Below are 21,331 nucleotides of genomic sequence, written 5' to 3' on the forward strand. Positions count from 1 at the left end.
AGAGCCTCTGTCTGACATTCCCTTTGTAAGGGTCAAAGGGCTTTGGGAATAGACTTTAGAGTAATATATTTGAGCATATTTACGCAATCATCTGTGTGCCCACTCTATACTCCAAGCTTGGAGAGAAACCCTTCTATTAATCCCCCTTTCAAGCAGGTCTAAGTATCCCAGACCATAATATTTAACAAACCTTTATCAAACAGTTGGGGACTTCAAAATTTTTCACAGAGAGAAACTCATCGCTGTCACTGGAGTTACTGCCTCTCCAATGGAAACTCTAAAAATTTAGGTCCTTAATCTCCCTAGACCCAGATGTAAAAAGAAGTTCCTTCCTCTCTCAGCCCAAGGTCTTATTTCCCGTATCAGGATGGATGGCCATAGGAACAGACCCTTTCTTCAGAAGACACCCCCACTCCAACCACACAATGGTCTTCATCCTCCAAGGTACAGACAAGGCATTCAAAACATCTACAGAGTACTTCTAAAAGCATGGTTCATTCACTACCCTAAGGGCTATGCCAAGACTAGTCTAACTCAAGTTCAAAGTCCTTTTTCCAGCCTAAAATGGAGACATCAGGTCTGATTATATTTCCCTCTCAGCAAGACTCTGTTCCCCTGATCAACTATAAACAAACTTTTGGAAAAAGAAACCCAGACTTCTCGCAAGCAAGTAAGCTTCAGGTATCATTCAACCGAAATCCAATTTGAGAGAGTAGCAAGTTTCCTCTAACTCCACAAAGGCACAGTCCTGCTAAACATAATCTCATTTTTCATCATTAAATAGAACTCTGAGTATTTCAGGCTGTAGCTTCTGCATTTAATATTGACAAAGATTACTAAGAGCTCATATGGCACCCATGTGCAAATTAGAAAACAGCACCTCCTCTCGGCAGGTGCTTCTGTTAAAATTAAAGTGGTCCCTTCTCTGGGTGAAGATGCCCCACCCACACTGGGATGCAAGGCTGGGCAAAGAGAGCAAGGGCTGGGCTTCAATGTCACCATTGTGCAGTGAGCAACCTGCGCAGCCATCCATGACTGTACTTGGTTTTCTCGAGGAACACTAGTCATTTTCTTTACAACTGGGCCTTATATCCAAAGGCCCATTCTGATGACTTTCATAAACAAAGTTGCCTGTAAAATGTAAAATTGATATCCACCCCTAAAGAAAAACAAATGTTGAGATTTTTCTACAAAATAATTTGAACAACCTGAGTTGAATTCACAAGTCAGCCAACCGCCAGCTGTGTGATTAGACAAATTCCCTGTTCATCCATAAAACGGAGGCATCAATCCCCGTACTACTGAGATCTCAGGAATCCCAGCACTTTGGGAGGCCGAGGCAGGCAGATCACGAGGTCAAGAGATCAAGATCATCCTGGCCAACATGGTGAAACCCCATCTTTACTAAAAATACAAAAATTAGCTGGACGTGGTGGTGCGCTCCTGTAGTCCCAGCTACTCAGGAGGTTGAGGCAGGAGAATTGCTTGAACCCAGGAGGCGGCAGTTGTAGTCAGCTGAGATCACGCCACTGCACTCCTGCCTGGTGACAGAGCAAGACTCCATCTCAAAAAAAAAAAAAAAAAAAAGGAATACTTAAAATCTCTAAATAGACAATGCAAAATGACTTGGTAAACATAAAACGGTCTGTGGATATTAAGCAGTAACCACATAAAAAGACAGAAACAGCAAATGGTATCATTGGTGCTTCCATGGAAAGACATTTCTCTTATTCTTGATGTTTTTGGCCACAGTATTCTTCCAGCAAAAATCTGAGAAGGGCCATTACTTGTCCCTGATTTTCCAAAAAGGTCATCCAAGCAATAAAGGGTTTCCAATGTGGAAGATAATTAGCTCCCAGAGCCTTCCCATTCCACCTGATCAATTAGACTAAGTACTAAACACTCCCAAGCCTGAAGTGCATAAAATTGAATTGTATGTATGCTTTCCTGTTATAGAATGGTAATGTGCTGCTTTCAGAATCTCTCACACGAGCTGGGAGTAATCGGAAATTTTTTTTTCAAGCTACCTCCCTGCCTGGTGATAAGGCACCGGCTAGCTGGATGTGTTTGACTAGGATTTTTAATTTCTTGGGGGGGAAAAAAACCAACAACTGCAATATGGGTTTTTGTTTGGCTCATCAGTGTTGCTTTAAAGACTTCTGTGGAATGCCCAAATTGCAACTGGGCTGTCTTAACAGTGCCTTCCACCGCTGGAATCTGCAATCCAGAATCAGTGACTGTGCCGGGGATCAGCACCAAACGCAAGGCCGGCCCATTTTTCTTTGTCAAACGCTCCCCGTGACAGGAGGAGATGTTAGACAGCAGTGCAGGATTTTTCTTAGCAACCCACCCAAGCATAGATGTACCCCTCTCTCCTAGGAGACAAGTTATTAAAAAGATGTATTTTTGAAAGCAACCTTCTCTGCATGCAACATCAGTGTCAACAAATAAAGGGGGAGGGAAGGAAAGGCAAAGGGGGAGGGAAGGAAAGGCAAAGGGAGAGCTGTCCAGAGAGAGGAAGGAAAATGCCTCTGTGGGCACAGTTTAAGAAATGATCAATGCATGTGTCAAAGGCTGTGATAAGACACACTGAGCTTATCAAAAACGGAAGCTCCAATGACAGAGTTCACATGTGACAGGAAGATAAGAGAAGCCGGGTTTTTCCTCTCCCTCTTTTCTCTCCCCAAAGACCCTGTTTTAATTTCCCACTCTGCATGTTACATTTTCAGGCCCAACAGAGACCACCTAACCTCGTTCAATTCCTTTTCTAATCTCACTGTAAATGTTTCCAGGAGACTCTGATTTGCAGACGCTGACCTCAGTGATATTTGGGGAAATAATGTGCAAGTCCCTGTTGGAGATCCAAAACGCAGCTGAAGGTTTCAGAAAACACTGAACATCTCAAAAAGGAGTGTTAAGAACACTGAGCTGGAAATTAAACATGCACATACATCTTGGCTCGATCATAAACACACTCTGTGTTCTTGCATAAGTCACATCACCTACCAGAAATGGAGTCTCCTCTTCTGTAAAGCAGGGAGAGATGGACTGTGCTGTCCTATCGAGAATATATATATATATATTTTTTTTTTTTGAGATGGAGTCTCACTCTGTTGCCCAGGCTGGAGTGCAGTGGCACAATCTCGGCTCACTGCAAGCTCTGCCTCCCAGATTCACGCCATCCTCCTGCCTCAGCCTCCCAAGTAGCTGGGACTACAGGCACCCGCCACCTGTATTTTTTGTATTTTTTAGTAGAGACGGGGTTTCACTCAGAGATGTGTGCCTTGCCCACGGACATCTGGCCTTGGAACTTAAGTTGATGTAGGCCTGGCTTCCCATTGCTGGCATTTGCATCTCTCTGCATAAGGGCCCTCTCAGCTATGGGAGCTCCCTCCATTCACACAGAAGGCAGAACAGAAGTGCCAGTAAATTGATGGTGCCCAGCAATCACATTACTGAGTATATACCCAAAGGATTATAAATCATTCTGCTACAAAGACACCTGGACATGTATGTTTATTGCAGCACTATTTATAATAGCAAAGACTTGGAACAAACCCAAATGACCATCAACGATAGACTGAACAAAGAAAATGTGGCACATATACACTATGGACTATTATGCAGCCATAAAAAAGAATGAGTTCATGTCCTTTACAGGGACATGGATGAAGCTGGAAACCATCATTCTCAGCAAACTAACGCAGGAACAGAAAACCAAACACTGCATGTTCTCAATCATAAGTTGGAATTGAACAATGAGAATACATGGACACAGGGAGGGGAACATCACATACCAGAGCCTGTTGAGTGGTGGCGGGCAAGGGGAGGGAGAGCATTAGGACAAATACCTAATGCATGCGGGGCTTAAAAAACCTAAGATGACAGATTGATAGGTGCAGCAAATCACCATGGCAAATTGTTACATAGGTTTGTTACCTATGTAACAAACCTGCACAGCCTGCACATGTATCCCAGAACTTCAAGTTAAAAAAAAAAAATGTGTTGCCCAGAAGCAGCACCCAACCAATGAAGTCCCACAAAGACAAACAGGATGCTTCCAGAGGTCTTCAGCGAGGCTAAACTCCAGTTGCCCAGAGCAGTACTTGGTGACATCCTTTACTGGCTGCCTTCCCTTCCCTGTCTCACATTCTAACCCTTCTCCCCGCAAAGTATGTCCTGGGATTACCACCCAGACATACTCTCTGTCTTGTATCTGTCCTGAGATCTGCTTTGGAGGAAACCCACATTAAGGCAGTGAGCTAAGAGTTAACTTCAGGCATTAACTTTACGAAAGAGCATAGCTGTATCAATGTTCAAAGAATAATGGAAATGTTTTCCTTAAATTCCCTTTCCTCAAAACATGCAGCTCTAATTCTTTTTCCCATCCAACTCCACATTCCATTCATAACACGAATAATTCTGCATATTTGTGGAGAAGTTTTAACTATTCAAAGTACTTACACATTTAAATGTCCCTTTGAAATTTACAAAAAAAAAAAAAATCTGCAAAATGGGAGAAGCAATAGCATTAACCTCTTGGTAAATGAGATAAACCTTAAAACACAAACCCAGAGAAGTGAGTTAAACTACACAAGGTCACACACCATATTGATCTCCGTTCTCTTTCTGGCCTCAGTGGCACCACTCTTTGGGGTGGCATCACCTGTTGGGGATCATTCAGTCTCAGGAGTAGGGATGGGTTAGAGTCATTTACAAAGCCCACTGCACCCCACCAGAATAGGGACCTACTATAAGAACCCTTTGTGAGGACTGTCATTTTCTATTTCCACTCTTGCACAAGTGATTACTCTAGAAGGGGAGAAAACAGCTGTTCCGATACCACCCTTGATGAGAAAGAAACTGATTGAGCTAGAAGTTTGCTGAGCTAGAGCCAGTCAATAACGTTCAATTCTTTATCTCCTATTCATGGAGTCCCAACACTTTCAGGGGCAAGATGCAAGTGAATGGAGCTTCTTTGATACAGTAATTCAGAGAATAGGACAGTGTATTCACAGGTTTAAATGTCAATGATGAAGACTAATACAACTGAAGAAAAATGAGCCTTGTTTAAAACAAAGAGAGAAGTTCTCAAACTTTAGCATAAATCAGTATGTTACCTGGAGGGCTTGTTGAAACCCCGATTACTGGCTTCCACTTCAGAGATTTTGATTCCAGTAGATCTGGGTAGGGCGTGAAAATCTGCATTTTTTTAAGTTTCTAGGTGAGGCCAAAGATGCAGTCCTGGACACTACACTCTGGGGCGTCACTGCTTTAAGATATTACTTTCCAAATCTGATGTGCATACAAATAACCTGGACCTATAGTTATTATGCAGATTCTCATTCAAGAGGTCCAGGCTGTCTTTCTTTTTTCTTTTTTTTTTTTTTTTTGAGATGGAGTCTCGCTCTGTCACCCAGGCTAAAGTGCAGGGGCCCGATCTCGGCTCACTGCAAGCTCCGCCTCCTGGGTTCACGCCATTCTCCTGCCTCAGCCTCCCAAGTAGCTGGGACTACAGGTGCCTGCCACCACGCCTGGCTAATTTTTTGTATTTTTTAGTACAGACAGGGTTTCACCGTGTTAGCCAGGATGGTCTCGATCTCCTGACCTCGTGATCCACCCGCCTCGGCCTCCCAAAGTGCTGGGATTACAGGTGCGAGCCACTGCGCCCGGCCTCCAGGCTGTCTTTCTAACAAGCCTCCAGTGATGCTGACGTTGCCAGTCTATGGACCACAGAAAGCAATGAGACTCCAAGCCAAGTGTCTCTCAAAGGGATGTTCAACTACCCACCATAGAGTCACAGCAAGCTTATTAAAAATGCAGACCCCAGAAGGAAGACTGGTTTTAGACCATTCAAGCTATTATAACAACTTACCATAGACTGGGTGTCTCAAACATAAATGCACTGTTCACAGTTCTGGAGGCTGGGAAATCTAAGATCCAGGTGGTGGCAGATTCAGTGTCTGTCTGGAAGTCCCCTGGCTTACAGACAGCTGTCTTTTGGCTATATCCTCACCTGGTGGAGGGAGCAAGGCAGCTCTCTGAGGTCTCTTTTGTAAAGCCACTAATCTCATTCATAAAGGCTCTACCCTCATGACCTAATCACCTCCCAAATGCCCCCACCTCCTAATACCATCACATTGGGGATTAAGTTTGAGCATTTAAATTTTGGGAGGAACATAAACATTCAGTCTACAGAAAGACCTACTGAAACGCTCTAGTCACGGACCCAGGAATCTGCTTTTAACAAGCATATTGAGTGACCCTAGAATTTTAATTCATGGCCCTATATGGTATTCCCCAGCCTTGAATAATTATAAGAATGACCTGATGCATATGTTAAAATACAGATTCCTGGCCAGGTGTGGTGGCTCATGCCTGTAATCCCAATACTTTGGGAGGCCGAGTGGGGTGGATCACTTGAGGTCAGGAGCTCCAGATCAGCCTGGCTAACATGGTGAAACCCTGTCTCTACTAAAAATACAAAAATTAACCAGTCCTTGTGGCACCTGCCTGTAGTCCCAGCTACTCGGGAGGCTGAGGCACTAGAATTGCTTGAACCCGGTAGGCAGAGGTTGCAGTGAGCAGAGATCGCGCCACTTCACTCCAGCCTGGGCGACAGAGTGGGACTCCATCTAAAAAAATAAAATACAGATTACTAAACCTCAGGTTAGACTTACTAAGTTGGAGTAGTTCAAAAACAAGCCTGGGACTCTGGACTGTGTTAATCTTCCAGATGAGAAAAACTAGGAAACAGTCTGAGTGTTAGTACTCACCTGCTTTTCACAGTCTGGGTACCACAATCTTCCCTTTAAGCTTTCATAGGATCCTCCCAACTTAGATGTCAACATATAACAACACGTAAAGGAGTTCTTTAACTCCAAAATTCTGACAAAAAGTTTAGTTGAGAATGACAGGACCCATGCTATAAACACACTTGCCATACAGACTTCTGGACGATACAGTATAAAGACTGCACAGTGGGTTAGCACATCAGTGCCCAGTTTTGTCTCTCTGCAAGCAGGGCCATCTCAGGGGCTTGCCTTAAGCCCTGGCTCTCTTAAGTTTGCACCAAAGATGGGATTATTTGAGTGCCTTGGACTCACTAAGTTGCAGAAACCCTCTAAAAAGGGAGAAAGAGAGAGCCAGTAACCCTACTTAGCTTTGGGGTGACACAGTCTTCATGCTGGAGACTAGCTGGGATTTTTAGCTGAGCCAGAGTGAGTTGGGTCATCATCAGTTGGACATCCCTGTGGACATCAAGTCAGTTTCCCTAACCCTGCAAATAGAGAAAGAGAGTGGGAGGAAAGAAAGGAGGAAGGGGAAGGGAGGTGGGAGACAGAAAGAGGAAATTGTGCCCTCATTACAAGATGACATTTGGAATAATGTAGAAATTGAAAACAAACGTCGAACAACTTGCAAATTGCATTTTCCTGGGACTTTTCTCTTGGCATTTTTGTTTGTTTGCTTTAATTGAAAGCTGTGTGTTTCAATGGGCTCACGTGGCATGCCATGATCAGTTATTCCAAACGACTTGGGCTGCATGATGCTCTGTTTCTTGTCAGTTGCAGAGCACATTTTCTGTTTCAGGAACTACAGTACAATCACTTTCTAACTATCATATAGCACCGAAATGGCTTCGGCACTCAGGTGCAATGGCACTTCCTGAGTGATTGGGAGGGTCGTGCCTGGGTCAAAGATGCAGAGGGGCCATGAAAGGCAGATGGCTTCCTGGGTCACTACCTGGGGAAAAAAAAAGTCAGAAAACTGAACTGAAAAAACCAGCTTCGGGGAACAGAACACAGTACTGAGGGGTCCTCTGACCCTATAGTCAGAAAAGCAGGACAAAAGCCTAAGAATGTGGCTGGAGCATTGGAGGAATTGAGGCAAGAAACAGGTATGAAGCCACTTATGTTATTTCTAGACAGGTTCCAACCACCCCATCATCTTTTATGTTCTTGAAACTGGAAGCTTGTACCAATGCATCCCCCAAATGGGAAAAGTTATATAAGATTACTGAACCCAAATATTAATTATTTTTACCTTACCACAGGTAAAAACAATTTAAAGAACACACACACACACACACACACACAAGATTTACTTACTGTGATAAGAGTTGATACAGAAATTGCTATATGATTGACACTGGACCAATAATCTGATTTACTCCTTGCAACCACCATACAATGTAGGTATTATTTCTGTTATTGTTTCCATTTTACAAAGCCAAAAAAACTGACACTGAAATAGTTTATCCAAAGTAACAACAGAAGTCATAAGAGGCAAAGCAGAGACCAAAACCTGGGCTGCATGAAGCCAGAGGTGGGCTTTAGGTATGTATGCATTTATTTATTTATTTTTGATAGAGACTTGCTTTGTAACTCAGGGTGGAGTTCAGTGGCACGATCATAGCTCACTGCAGCCTCGAACTCCTAGGCTCAAACCATCCTCCTACCTCAGCCTCCCAAGTAGCTGGGACCACAGGCACAAGCCACCATGCCTGGCTCAATTTTTACTTTTTATAGAGATTAGCCCCTTGCATTGTTGCCCAGGCTGGTCTTGAAGTCTTGATCTCAAGTGATCCTCCCACCTTTTTTTTTTTTTTTTTTTGAGACGGAGTTTCACTCCTGTTGCTCAGGCTGGAGTACAATGGTGCAATCTTGGCTCACCACAACCTCCGCCTCCCAGGTTCAAGCAATTCTCCTGCCTCAGCCTCCCGAGTAGTTGGGATTACAGGCATGCACCACCACGCCTGGCTAATTTTGTATTTTTAGTAGAGATGGGTTTTCTCCATGTTGAGGCTGGTCTCGAACTCCTGACCTCAGGTGATCCACCCGCCTTGGCCTCCCAAAGTGCTGGGATTACAGGCGTGAGCCACTGCGCCCGGCCCTCCCACCTCTCAACTACTGCTCTAAATTCCCTTCAGTAATAAGATGCAGTCAGAAATGGGAAACCCCATACATTGCTATTTATAAATGTAAAACGGTACAGCCACTTTAGAAGAATAGTTCTGCAGTTTCTTAAAATGTTAAACATAAATTTCCCATATGTAGAAAGAACCCAGCAATATCACTCCTAGGTACCTACCCAAGATAAATGAAATAATATGCCTACAAAAGACTTTTAGGCAAGTGCTCACAGCAGCATTAATCACAATAACCCAAAACTGGAAACAACCCAGATGTCCATCAACTGGTGAGTAAATTAACAAAATAGGTTAAAAAAAATGATAAACAGGCCGGGTGCGGTGGCTCACGCCTATAATCCCAGCATTTTGGGAGGCTGAGGCAGGTGGATCACAAGGTTAGGAGATCGACACCATCCTGGCCAACATGGTGAAACCCCATCTCTACTAAAATACAAAAAATTAGCCTGGCGTGGTGGCACACACCTGTAGTCCCAGCTACTCGGGAGGCTGAGGCAGGGGAATCACTTGAGCCCAGGAGGCGGAGGTTGCAGTGAGCCGAGATCGCGCCACTGCACTCCAGCCTGGGCAACAGAGCGAGACTCTGTCTTAAAAAAATAAATAAATAAATAAATAATAAGAATAAGAATAAACATACAGTGGAATACAATTCAGCAAAATCAAGGAACAGAACACTGAAATATGCTATAACACACATGAGCCTCGAAAACATGCTAAGTGAAAGATGCCCAATGCCAGAGACCACATGTTATGTAATTTCACAATATCAGAAGAACAAAATCTATGAGACAGAAAATAGATGACTGGTTTTGGGACTGGTGATGAGAAATGCAAGAACTACGAAGAAGCACAAGCGATCTTGTTAGGGTGATAAATCTGTTCTTAAGTTGGGTTCTGGTGATGGTTCCACAATTCTAAATTTATGAAAATTCATTAAATTGTTCATTCAAAATGGGTGAATTTTATGATACGTAAATTATACCTCAAGGGAGCTTTTTTAAAAATAAAAATATAAACTCTAAAAATTTAAAAAGAAAATAATTAGAAAAAAAGAAATGGGCTGGGCATGGTGGCTCACCCCTGTAATCCCAACACTTTGAGAGGCTGAGGCAGGTGGATCATGAGGTCAGGATTTCGAGACCAGCCTGGCCAACATGGTGAAACCCCATCTCTACTAAAAATAAAAAAAATTAGTTGGGCATGGTGGCGGGCACCTGTAATCCCAGCTACTTGGGAGACTGAGGCAGGAGAATTGCTTGAACCCGGGAGGCAGAGGTTGCAGTGAGCCTAGATCGCACCACTGCACTCCAGCCTGGGCGACAGAGCAAGACTCCGACTCCGGGGAAAAAAAAAAAAAGAAAAAGAAATGACCATTGTACTTGCTGAACACTTGATCATGATGTCATTTAGTCTTTGCAAAATGGCCTCCGTTCTCCCTCCTCAAGTGCTATGATGTCACCTCAGGCACAGGAATTTTCATTCTTTTAAAACAGGGTCTGACATGCAGGAGCCACTCAGTAAATACTCGCTGCATAGAGCAAGATGGGCGACAGGCAGACACGGATTCATATCTTGACTCAGTTATTGCAGAATCATCAGTTTACTTATATGACTTAAATATATTACAATGAGTAATAATACCTATGGCAGACGTTGCTATTTGGCTCCCCAATATCTGTTTCAATTCCCCTCTCTTGCCACCTTCCACTATAGCAGCTGGGAAAAGTTACTTTCTCAGAGGCCCCTTGCAGCCAGGTGTGGCTCATTAGACTTTAAATGACTGTGTGTGTCATTGTCGTTGGGGATGGAGCGTTAGGAGAGTGATTCTGGAAAACATTTTTACTCTACTGATAAAACGAACAGTGCAGCTGATGCCATTTCTGCTTCCTTCTTCCTGACTTGAATGTAGATGTGATTTAAGGAATGCAGCAGCCATTTTGTGGCCATGTGGAAAATATCACAAAACAAGAAGTTCTGGCCTGTCATTGCTTTGGTTTATAACTCTTTCCTTTTGGGTCTCCCAAACCATATCTAAGTTCTATTATTACATGACTGGAAGAGTGAGGGGCACCTCTGGACAGCCCCTGCTTTAGCCTCAGTTCTAAATATCCACTTAGTCCCTCTTTTCATGGATTCATTGGAAAATCCGAAAGCAGCAGTCCCAATGGGAAATAAATGGGTCTAATTTCAGAAAAGACAAGCCCATTTCTCTTCTCCCCAGCAATCTCATAATACTATGGTAATAACCAATAATGATAGCAGGTAATTAATACATATTCACCACGATCAATGTCTCTCACCATAATCCCATTCGTCTATCCATGATCTTTGTGGAAGAGGAAAATTTCACTGTGAGATATTCCAGAAACAAGCAAATGGTCCTTCCACTGGCTGCCTCAATGTCAATTCTCTCTGTTCTTTCAGAACAGGAAGTCAGAACACCAAGCAATCACAACAGCATGAAGGTCTCCTGCCTTGCTCTACAGAGGGACATCTATTGTTCTGACCTCCAGCAGGTTTGATTTAAACTGACAGAGACAGGTTCCCTTTAGGCACCTGGGAGAATCATGATGCAGAAGGTCCTGGAATCTGATGGTAATTTCCAGTTAGTGATCAGGCAGAATGAAATCCATGGTGCAGTAGGATGCACTCCTAGAAGACAGCTGAGATTAAAGAATGGGACATGGAGCTGGGCACGGTGGCTCACGCCTGTAATCCCAGCACTTTGGGAGGCCAAGGCGAGCACATCACCTGAGGTCAGGAGTTCGAGACCAGCCTGGCCAACATGGTGAAACTCCGTCTCTACTAAAAATACAAAAATTAGCCAGGTGTGGTGATGTGCACCTATAATCCCAGCTACTTGGGAGGCTGAGGCAGGAGAATTGCTTGAACCCCGGAGGTGGATGTTGGATGTTGCAGTGAGCCAAGATTGTGCCACTGCACTCCAGCCTAGGTGACAGTGAGACTTGGTCTCAAAAAAAAAAAAAAAAAAAAAAAGGACATGGGAAGAAGAATTGGGAGAGAGTAGCGAGCAGCTTCTGACATGGCCTCCAAGGACCCCCACCCCCTGGTAGTCTTGCCCTTGTGAAATCCCCTCCCCTTGCATGTGGGCCAGACCAAGTGACTCACTTCTAACAAACAGAATATGGCTAAAGGGATGTCATTTCTGGTATTCGGTGTCTTAGTCCATGTAGACTGCTATAACAGAATACCAGAGACTGGGTGGCTTATAAACAACAGAAATAGTTCTTTCTCAGCTCACAGTAAGTCTACAATCAAGATGATACTGGCAGATTCAGCGTCTGATGAGAACTCACTTCCTAGTTCACCAATGGGCGTCTTTTCACTGCATCCTCAGGAGACAGAAGAGGCTAGGAACTTCCCTGGGGTCCCTTTTAAAAGGGCACTAATCCCATTCATGAGGGCCCTGTCCTCATTAACTAATCACCTCTCAAAGGCCCTACCTCCTAGTACCATCGTCTTGGGCATTGATTTGAACATAGGAATTTTGAGGGGCCATAAACTTTAATCCAAGGCATTGGATTACAAAAGACTGATTTCCATCCTATTATTCTGTCTCTAGCTCTACTCGTGCTTGCTGTCTCATGGTGAGAACCACATTGCAAGGAGTTGAGAGCAGCCTCGGGCTAACAGCCACCAAGAAACTGAGGCCCTCATGCTGACATCTCATGAACTAAATCCTACCAAAAAGCAGAGTGGGCTTGGGAACAGATACTGTCCTAGTTGAACCTGAAGACGATTAAGGCCCCAGGTGACACCTTGATGAAGCCAGTGAGAGGCCCTCAAGCACAGGACCCAGCCAAGCTATTCCCAGATCCTCCACCCACAGACACTGTGTCTTTAAAAACTGCTAAGTAGGCCGGGCGTGGTGGCTCACGCCTGTAATCCCAGCACTTTGGGAGGCCGAGACGGGCGGATCACGAGGTCAGGAGATGGAGACCATCCTGGCTAACACGGTGAAACCCCGTCTCTACTAAAAATACAAAAAATTAGCCAGGCATGGTGGTGGGCACCTGTAGTCCCAGCTACTCGGGAGGCTGAGGCAGGAGAATGGCATGAACCCGGGAGGCAGAGCTCGCAGTGAGCCGAGATCGCGCCACTGCACTCCAGCCTGGGCGACAGAGCGAGACTCTGTCTCAAAAAAAAAAAAAAACTGCTAAGTGTTGAGGTCCTTTGTTACCACAGCAATTGACGCCTAATACAGGGAATGAGTCATGGGGATATTTTTTAAATGAAAAAAACTCCACATACACATGAATGAATGAGTACTCACAACCTTTCCCTTTTCCACACTCTAAAAGGGTTTTTGGTTCATTCTGTTTGGGGGTTGTTTTTGTTTGATTCCGCTTTGGGGGTTTTGCCTTTTGTTTCTTTGTGCTCAAGCAGCTGCTGATCAAATCTGAGCATTTCCTGTGTTAATGAGAACAGTATTGGTAATTATTATTATGCTAATATTTCATCAGCGCTTATAGCAAGCCCTGTGCTGAGCTTTGTAAGCCTCACAACAACCCAGTGAAAAAAGGTACCAGCATTATTCTTCTTTTGACATTTGAACCAGAGCAACTCCATCTTGAATAGGAGCTGGCTAAAATGAGGCTGAGGTCCACCGGGCTGCATTCCCAGACAGTTAAGGCATTCTAAGTCACGGGATGAGATAGGAGGTTGGCACAAGATACAGGTCATAAAGACCTTGCTGAAAAAACAGGTTGCAGTAAAGAAGCCGGCCAAAGCCCACCAAACCAAGATGGCAAGGGAGTGACATCTGGTTGTCCTCACTGCTACGCTCCCAGCAGCCCGTGACAGTTTACAAATATCATGGTAACGTCAGGAAGTTACCCTATATGGTGTAAAAAGGGGTGGCATGAAAAATTCACCCCTTGTTTAGCACATAATCAAGAAATAACCATAAAAATAGGCAACCAGCAGCCCTTGGGGCTGCTCTATGGAGTAGCCATTCTTTTATTCCTGTACTTTCTCGATAAACTTGCTTTCCCCTTACTCTAGGGACTTGCCCTGAATTCTGTCTTGCACGAGATCCAAGAACCCTCTCTTGGGGTTTGGATCAGGACCTCTTTCCGGTAACACTTTCACACGTGAGGACATGGAGGTTTAGAGTGACTATTCTTGCCTGTGTCACTTAACTGGTTAGTTGTGGAGCCAAGGTACAAACCCAGGGAACAAGACTCTACCTCTTCACCATATCACTGAGCTGGACAGAGCTGAAGCAGGGAAAAGTGACAGAAAGGCTAGAATGACTTACCCTGGAAAGGTCAGGGAGCTTCTCTGACAGATTAAAGAAATATTTAAAAGGATACAGTAAGGGGACATGGAACACAAGAGCTGCCCACAGCTAAGTTTATGAGAAAAGTCAGAAGGAGGGAGATTTGGAAGAAACTAATAAGGAATTGGACTCACTGCCCAGCAGGCTAAAGGAGCTGGAAAAGGGAGAGAGGGAAGATAGATGATAGCAAAGAAAGAAGGGAGAGGGAGGCAAAGAAAGTGAGGGAGGGGAGAGATTGATTAATTTAGTTATACATAATCCTGTGCATGAGCCCTTTCAGCAGTTTTAAGAGATGCAGTCAACACTGAAGCTGAGAGGTGAAGCCAGCTGGGCTTGTGGGTTAGGTGGGGACTTGGAGAACTTTTATGTCTGGCTAAAGGATTGTAAATGCACCAATCAGCACTCTGTCAAAACGGACCAATCAGCACTCTGTCAAAACGGACCAATCAGCACTCTGTAAAACAGACCAATCAGCACTCTGTAAAATGGACCAATCAGCAAGATATGGGTGGGGCCAAATAAGGGAATAAAAGCAGGCCACACGAGCCATCCGCGGCAGTAGGCTGTGGAAGGTAGTTCTTTTCTGTTTTGCGATAAATATTGTTGCTGCTCACTAGTTGGGTCTGCACTACGTTTATGAGCTGTAACACTCGCTGAGAAGTTCTGCAGCTTTCCTCTTGAAGTCAGTGAGACCACGAACTCACCAGAAGGAAGAAACTCTGGATACATCTGAACATCTGAAGGAACAAACCCCGGACCCACCATCTTTAAGAACTGTAACACTCACTGTGAGGGTCAGCGGCTTCATCCTTTAAGTGAGCGAGACCAAGAACCCACCAGAAGGAACCAATTCCGGACACAAAACTATTTTCACTGTACGAGATGGGCACTGCACCAGGATCACTTTTGCTCCCTTCATTCTAGGAGTTTCTCTGTGTATCGTTTCTAAGATGCCCTCTATTTCTTTGACTGTTCTTTGTCTTCTGTGTGGATCTGAGCTTATTCTTAATTATCTCCCATTGATGCCACTGTCACCAACCCAGTCCCAACCCTCACCTTGTCTCTCCTGCATTATTTCAACAGTCTCCAAGAAAGCCTTCCTGCCTCCAGTCCTATCCATGGCCTTCCTTTTTTGTAGACTAGTGCCAAGCAATGTAACTGAAGAGACAAATCTAACCAGGATGTTGCTCTGCTTATTTAAACCATCACTGATTCCCTGTTTCACACAGAATCAATTCCAAGCTTCAAATCATTATGGAAAAGATCACCACCTCTTGTTTGGGCTACAGCAATCGTCTCTAAGTGGAACACCAAGCAGTAAACAGTAAATCCCTTCCTCACCTCCTGACCACCACCCCCCCCTGCCCCGGGGGCAGGATACCTCTGCAGAATGGAAAAGCAATCATGTCCCTTCCTTAAACTTCCAGAGGTGTGGTATGCATGTGTAAGCATTACACATTGCAGGCTCAAGCTTCATCCTGTACAATTTGCAAGTAAAAAAAAAAAAAGGCAGCAAACTTTATTTTCCCCGATTTCATCTTGCTGCAAGCACCATTCTGCTAGGTAGTATGAAAAACACTAAACATGCCAGTTTTGATATCGTCATCTCAGGAAGTTTAAAACGGCCTTCAGTTAGTACAGACTCTTTAAGATAAATATTCAATCATCCCAAAGATTTAAACTCCGTACCAGGGCTGTTTCTTCCACACAATGTCACACGGGTATAAGAAAATGTGTGTGTGTCTTTGGATTAGAAGGAGGCCTCAAGTCTACCAGACACATCTTGGGACTTCTCTGGTTTTTTCAACAGTACAGGCAGACTGGCCCATCGCTGCTGTCTCTCAATGTTTGGGGTATCACAGGAGGAGGACTTGTTGAATTCTGTGATTCTGGCCACTCTCCTCGTGTTACAAAGTCCCTATCTACAGAGTCCTTGCTCTGACCCCAGTGGCAGTCCATGGGTTCTCTCAGAATCTCCACATCACTCTGCAGGGATCCAGGCTGCAGGGAACCCGTCCACCCGCATTCCTTCGCAAAACTGAAGGGGGTTTCCTAAAGGATGGGGAAGTGAAAATATTCACTTTGTACCACAGAAAATGAAGAAAGTGCCCAACCGTGCTCTGAAAGGCCTCAAGACTTAGCTTCCAGTTTTGTACATCACTTCTAGCGTATCGTCTTAGAGAGGGCAGTCAAGACACGTATATTTCAGCATTTTTCTTTTTTCAAGACAGAGTCTCACTCTGTCACCCAGACTGGAGTGCAGTGGTGTGATTTTGGCTCACTGCAACCTTTGCCTCCCAGGTTCAAGTGATTCTCCTGTCTCAGCCTCCTGAGTAGCTGAGACTACAGGCATGCACAACCATGCCCGGCTAATTTTTGTATATTTAGTAGATATGGGGTCTCACTGTGTTGGCTAGACTGGTCTCAAACTCTTGACCTCAGGAGATCCACCCGCCTCAGCCTCCCAAAGTGCTGGGATTACAGGCGTGAGCCACCTCACCTGGCCAGCATTTGTTTCTTTTGACTTCAGGTCCTCTCTGAGGACCAAAGAGCCTTCCTCTTGCCACTCAGCACTTCCTCTAGCGCCTCCAGGAGCTGGGGCATGAGGAGGATCTGTCATGAAACTCTATGGTCTAAGTTGGCCAGGCTTGCACATTGGTATGCGAAAAGGCCTTTTGGAATTTAGAAAGGGCAAACAAATGCAGAAGCATTTATCTTGTAATAAAGTTTGGCTTTAAAGATAATTGTCTTGCCATTTCCTGGAGAAAAAAAAATAAGTCATCTTTGAAACTCAACATTGAATGATGAGCTTTGTTCCATTCCATAGCGTCCTCTCCTTCCCTAGGGCAATGTCTCATGGCTTAGCTTTTGTAACACAAGGAGTGCCGAGAAGAAAGAAACTGGCTGTTAAGGGAGTAATTAATCACCAAGAGGTATTTCAAAAACATTAAACCTATCATATTTGTTGTGTGTACAGTTTGTACATATGTGTGTGTTTGTGTGTATTTGTACACAAATGGTCCATGTTCTACACCATGGGTTTCCAAACTATGCCCCACAGTCCAAGTCCAGCCTGCCTCCTATTTTTTGTTGTTGTTATTTTAGTGTGTTTTACAATTTTTTTAAATTGTGTTGAAATACACATAACAGGCTGGGCATGGTGGCTCAGGCTGTAAACCCAGCACTTTGGGAGGCCGAGGCAGGTGGATCACGAGGTCAACAGTTGGAGACCAGCCTGGCCAACATGGTGAAACCCCATCTCTACTAAAAATACAAAAATTAGCCAGGCATAGTGCTGTGCACCCTGTAATCCCAGGTACTTGGGAGGCTGAGGCAGGAGAATTGCTTGAACCCGGGAAGCAGAGGTTGCAGTGACGTGAGATCATGCCACTGTACTCCAGCCCGGGTGACAGAGCAGGACTCCATCTTGGGAAAAAAAAACACACACACACACACAACATAAAATTTACCATCTAAGTCATTTTAAGTGTACAGTTCAGTGTCTTTAAACACACTCATAATGTTGTACAACCATCACCACCATCCAACTCTGCAATTCTTTTCCTCTTGTAAAACTGAAACTCCATACCCATTAAACAACTCCCCATTTTCCCCTTCCCTCAAGCCCAACAACCACCATTCTATTGTCTCTATGAATTTGAATATAAGTACCTCATACAAATAGAATCGTACAGTGTTTGTCTTTTGTGACTCGCTTGTTTCACATGGCATAATATCCTCAAAATTCATCCATGTTGTAATGTATGTCAGGATTTCCTAAGGCTGAACAATAGCCTATTATACATACGTACGTAGCACATCTTGCTTATTCATCCATCAGTGGATGCTCTCACATTTTAGCTATTGTGAATAAGGTTGCCACGGAAGTCGATGTAAAAATAATCCCTTTGAGACCCTGCTTTCATTTAATTATTTTTTGGTATGGCTAGCAAGCCGAGAATGATTTTTACATTTTCAGATGATTGAGGGGAGGGGGAACAAAAGAAGAAGAGTATTTGGTGACATATGAACAACTTTTGAAATTCCAAGTTCAATATGTATGAAGTTTTATTGGAACACAGCCATATGAATTCCTTTGTGTGTCGTCCATCGTTGCTTTCACACACGAGAAAAGAAACCATACAGACCACAAAGCCTCTTACTATCTGGTCTTTTAAGAAAAAGTTTGCCAACCCCTTTTGTATACTGGTTGGCACTTTGTTTTTTTATCTTAAACATATGTTGGAGATCATTTCATATCATACTCCTCCTACTTGAGTCTACTTCTTTCAAAAAGGTTGTTTCAGAAATTTGCTGTTACAAACAACACCATAATGAATATTCTAAGACATCTAGCCTTCTATATATAACATGTCTCTCTCTGAACCTCCCATCCCCTACATACACACAGACACAGACACACAGACACACACAGAGACAACCATGAGCCCCTTGAAAACAGTGACCTCATCTATTTATCTTTATGGTTCCAGAGCAGAACTAAAGAAAAACATCAATTGCTTTCTTTCAATACATTTGTTTTTTTATAAACATAAAATTAAAGACTACTTAGAATCCTCTCAAAGTTGAACATGGTTCAAACAAAAGAATTTGAACTTGAGAAAATCCTGCATTTTTTTAGTATGGAAATCTATCTTCTCCACCATTCTTTGTATTCCTATTTGTCTCCTCTGCCTTCTTTTTTTTTTTTTTTTTTTTAGCAATTTGACTTATGTTTAGCAGCCATTCCCCAAGATAGCATATTCCTCTGTGACAAGATTTAATTAAACTTCCAGCAAAATAATTAGCAAGGCTATCTTAAAAGACCATTTTAAAATACCAGAGTGATACCAAGGAGTGAATAGAGTTAACACTGTCATCAGAGATCAAAGCCATCAGAAGACGTGACTGAAAATTTAACCTCCAGCAGCCGCCTGATGAAGAGGTACACATTGGAACAGTTGTGATAGCCTCTCTCTCGGGTCCCATCGACAAATTCATTTGACATGGAAAATTTCCCAAAGGAAGCTTAAAAATGGTAAATTTCCATTAATTACATAGCAAAGAATGTACTCTTCATATTTTATTATCCATTAGGAAACTTTGGAGGAAGGTGTAACTGCCTCTTATAATGTAGACTATCCTTCTTTACTTGGGGATACTGATGAGATTAGCAAACAGCTTCTCAACTAATGTGAAGACTTATTTGGAGAAAGACACTTTGTAAAAACTACCTTGACTGTGATGGTGGTGACCCTGGGAATGGTTGTGGTGGCTATCTTGGCGAAGAGCCCCATGGCGATGGTGACAATTCCAAGGCTATTAGCTTGGTGCAAAATTGCAGTTGTCATTAAAGTAATACCAATTCAGGACCTACTACCCTCCACCTGGAATCTCGGAGAGAATGAAAAAAGCTGAAGGGATCCAAAGCTAGAAGACTTATGTTCGAGCCTCTGCTCCACCAGTCAGTCACTCTGTGGTCACGAGGAAGTCCCTTTTCCTCTTTAAACCTCATTATTCACCTGTACACTGGCTATCTGGTATGGTTTGGACCTGTTCCCCTGCAAATCTCTTATCAAATTATAATTCCCAATATTGGAGGTAGGGACTGGTGGGAGGTGACTGGATCATGGGGGCAGTTTCTCATGGTTTAACACCTTCCCCTTTGGTGCTGTCATTGAGATAGCGAGTTCTCATGAGATCTAGTTGTTTGAAAAGTGTGCAAAACCTCCCCACTCTCTCTCTTCCTCTTGCTCTGGCCATGTGAGGTGCTTACTCCCCCTTTGTCTTCCACCATGACTGTAAGTTTCCTGAGGACTTCCCAGAAGCTAAGCAGATGCCAGCATCATGCTTCCTGTACAGCCTGTGGAACTGTGAGCCAATTAAACCTCTTTTCTTTATAAATTACCTAGTCTCAGGTATTTTTTATAGCTGTGTGAGAATGGACTAATACGGTGTCATACTCTCCTCCTTACCTGTTTTGCACAGTTGTGAGGATAACAAGAGATGTTGTTGATACTCAGTGTGATGGTGACTATAGTGATTCTATACAGCAAATCCTATTCTTGTCTTTTTCACCGTCTTCCATGAACATATCCACCTACAGGCAGCCCCAAGAGATCTAGAAGTGGAAGAACAAAGGCCAGATTCTGGTTACTTTGCAATTAACACAGAGATATGGGGGCTCTCATTTCTTCCTTACAGGTCAATAGCTCAATATGGTACCTTAATTCTTTTCCTGTGTTAGGAATATATTCATAAAGCCTTATTTACTCTTTGGAGATGTAGTATGAAGTACTTCCAAACAGTACTACTTCCAATAATTGGTGGTGACCAATTATTGCTCTTTTTATCTCTAAAAAACTAAGAAAATCCTAGTTATCATTTCATAAAGAGATATTAAGACTGGATATTTAAGCATTTATTGTGTATCGGCCATGGCACTGAGTACCTTTGAAGCCAGTATCATTATTATTCTCCATTTTATGAATAAGGAAGTTAAGGATGGTGCATATTTTTCTGCACCTGCAATCTTTTAAAAAAAAAAAATCCCTGCCTCACACCCACTATGCCCTTCCCCTCTACCTCAGTCACTGTTGTTCCTCTTACCAACATCAACTGCCCCATGAATCAGAGATCTACAGACCCTGTTCCTAGTAACACACCTTAATAAGCACTTAAACAGTCCAATGGACTAGCGCATGTAATGGACCTAGCTTGTTACAAAAACCACAATGACCGTTTAGTACATGGTAGCTGCAATCTAGCCCTGTGGTCCAATTCAGGAGCTTGGAATTCTGCATTCTTGGTTCAAACCACTTATAAGAAGAAAGACCTTAGCCAACCAACGTTGTCATTTCTTCAAGACTCGAGTTCTTCATGGAGATAACAATATATCCACTCACTGGGTTGTTGGGAGGATTAAATGGGTTAGATACATGTAATGTGCTTCGGACCCTATCTGGTACTGTAAGCAGCCCATACATGCAACTTCCACTACTATTATTTCCTGACAATGCAAAGCTTCTATTAAGTGAGTTTTTTTCTCCTGATGTGCTGTGTTCATTCCAGATAAACCAAATTAACCTTAGGAAGCTTAT

At 43.5% G+C, this 21,331-nt stretch overlaps 1 long non-coding RNA gene across 2 annotated transcripts in view, besides 2 other annotated features; it reads right to left on the reverse strand.

The window, feature by feature from the left end:
- Positions 1-21,331, reverse strand: part of LOC107984893 (uncharacterized) — a 111,412-nt gene that overhangs the window by 86,247 nt on the left and 3,834 nt on the right. The window contains exon 3 of one of the 2 annotated variants that reach the window (XR_001752093.2): positions 20,207-20,352. This is a non-coding gene — a long non-coding RNA (uncharacterized LOC107984893). Of the gene's footprint in view, positions 1-18,892; positions 20,353-21,331 lie in introns of those variants that run through there. The other variant, XR_001752092.3, reaches the window with a different exon arrangement.
- Positions 16,061-16,280: an enhancer, noted in NCBI's record as "active region_10516". NCBI's record gives its function as "activates an Ori minimal core promoter by ATAC-STARR-seq in GM12878 lymphoblastoid cells {active_cell/tissue: GM12878}" and the evidence as "EXISTENCE:reporter gene assay evidence [ECO:0000049][PMID:35858748]".
- Positions 16,571-16,620: an enhancer, noted in NCBI's record as "active region_10517". NCBI's record gives its function as "activates an Ori minimal core promoter by ATAC-STARR-seq in GM12878 lymphoblastoid cells {active_cell/tissue: GM12878}" and the evidence as "EXISTENCE:reporter gene assay evidence [ECO:0000049][PMID:35858748]".

Source organism: Homo sapiens, chromosome 16, assembly GCF_000001405.40.
Source record: "Homo sapiens chromosome 16, GRCh38.p14 Primary Assembly".
NCBI classification, from domain to species: domain Eukaryota; kingdom Metazoa; phylum Chordata; class Mammalia; order Primates; family Hominidae; genus Homo; species Homo sapiens.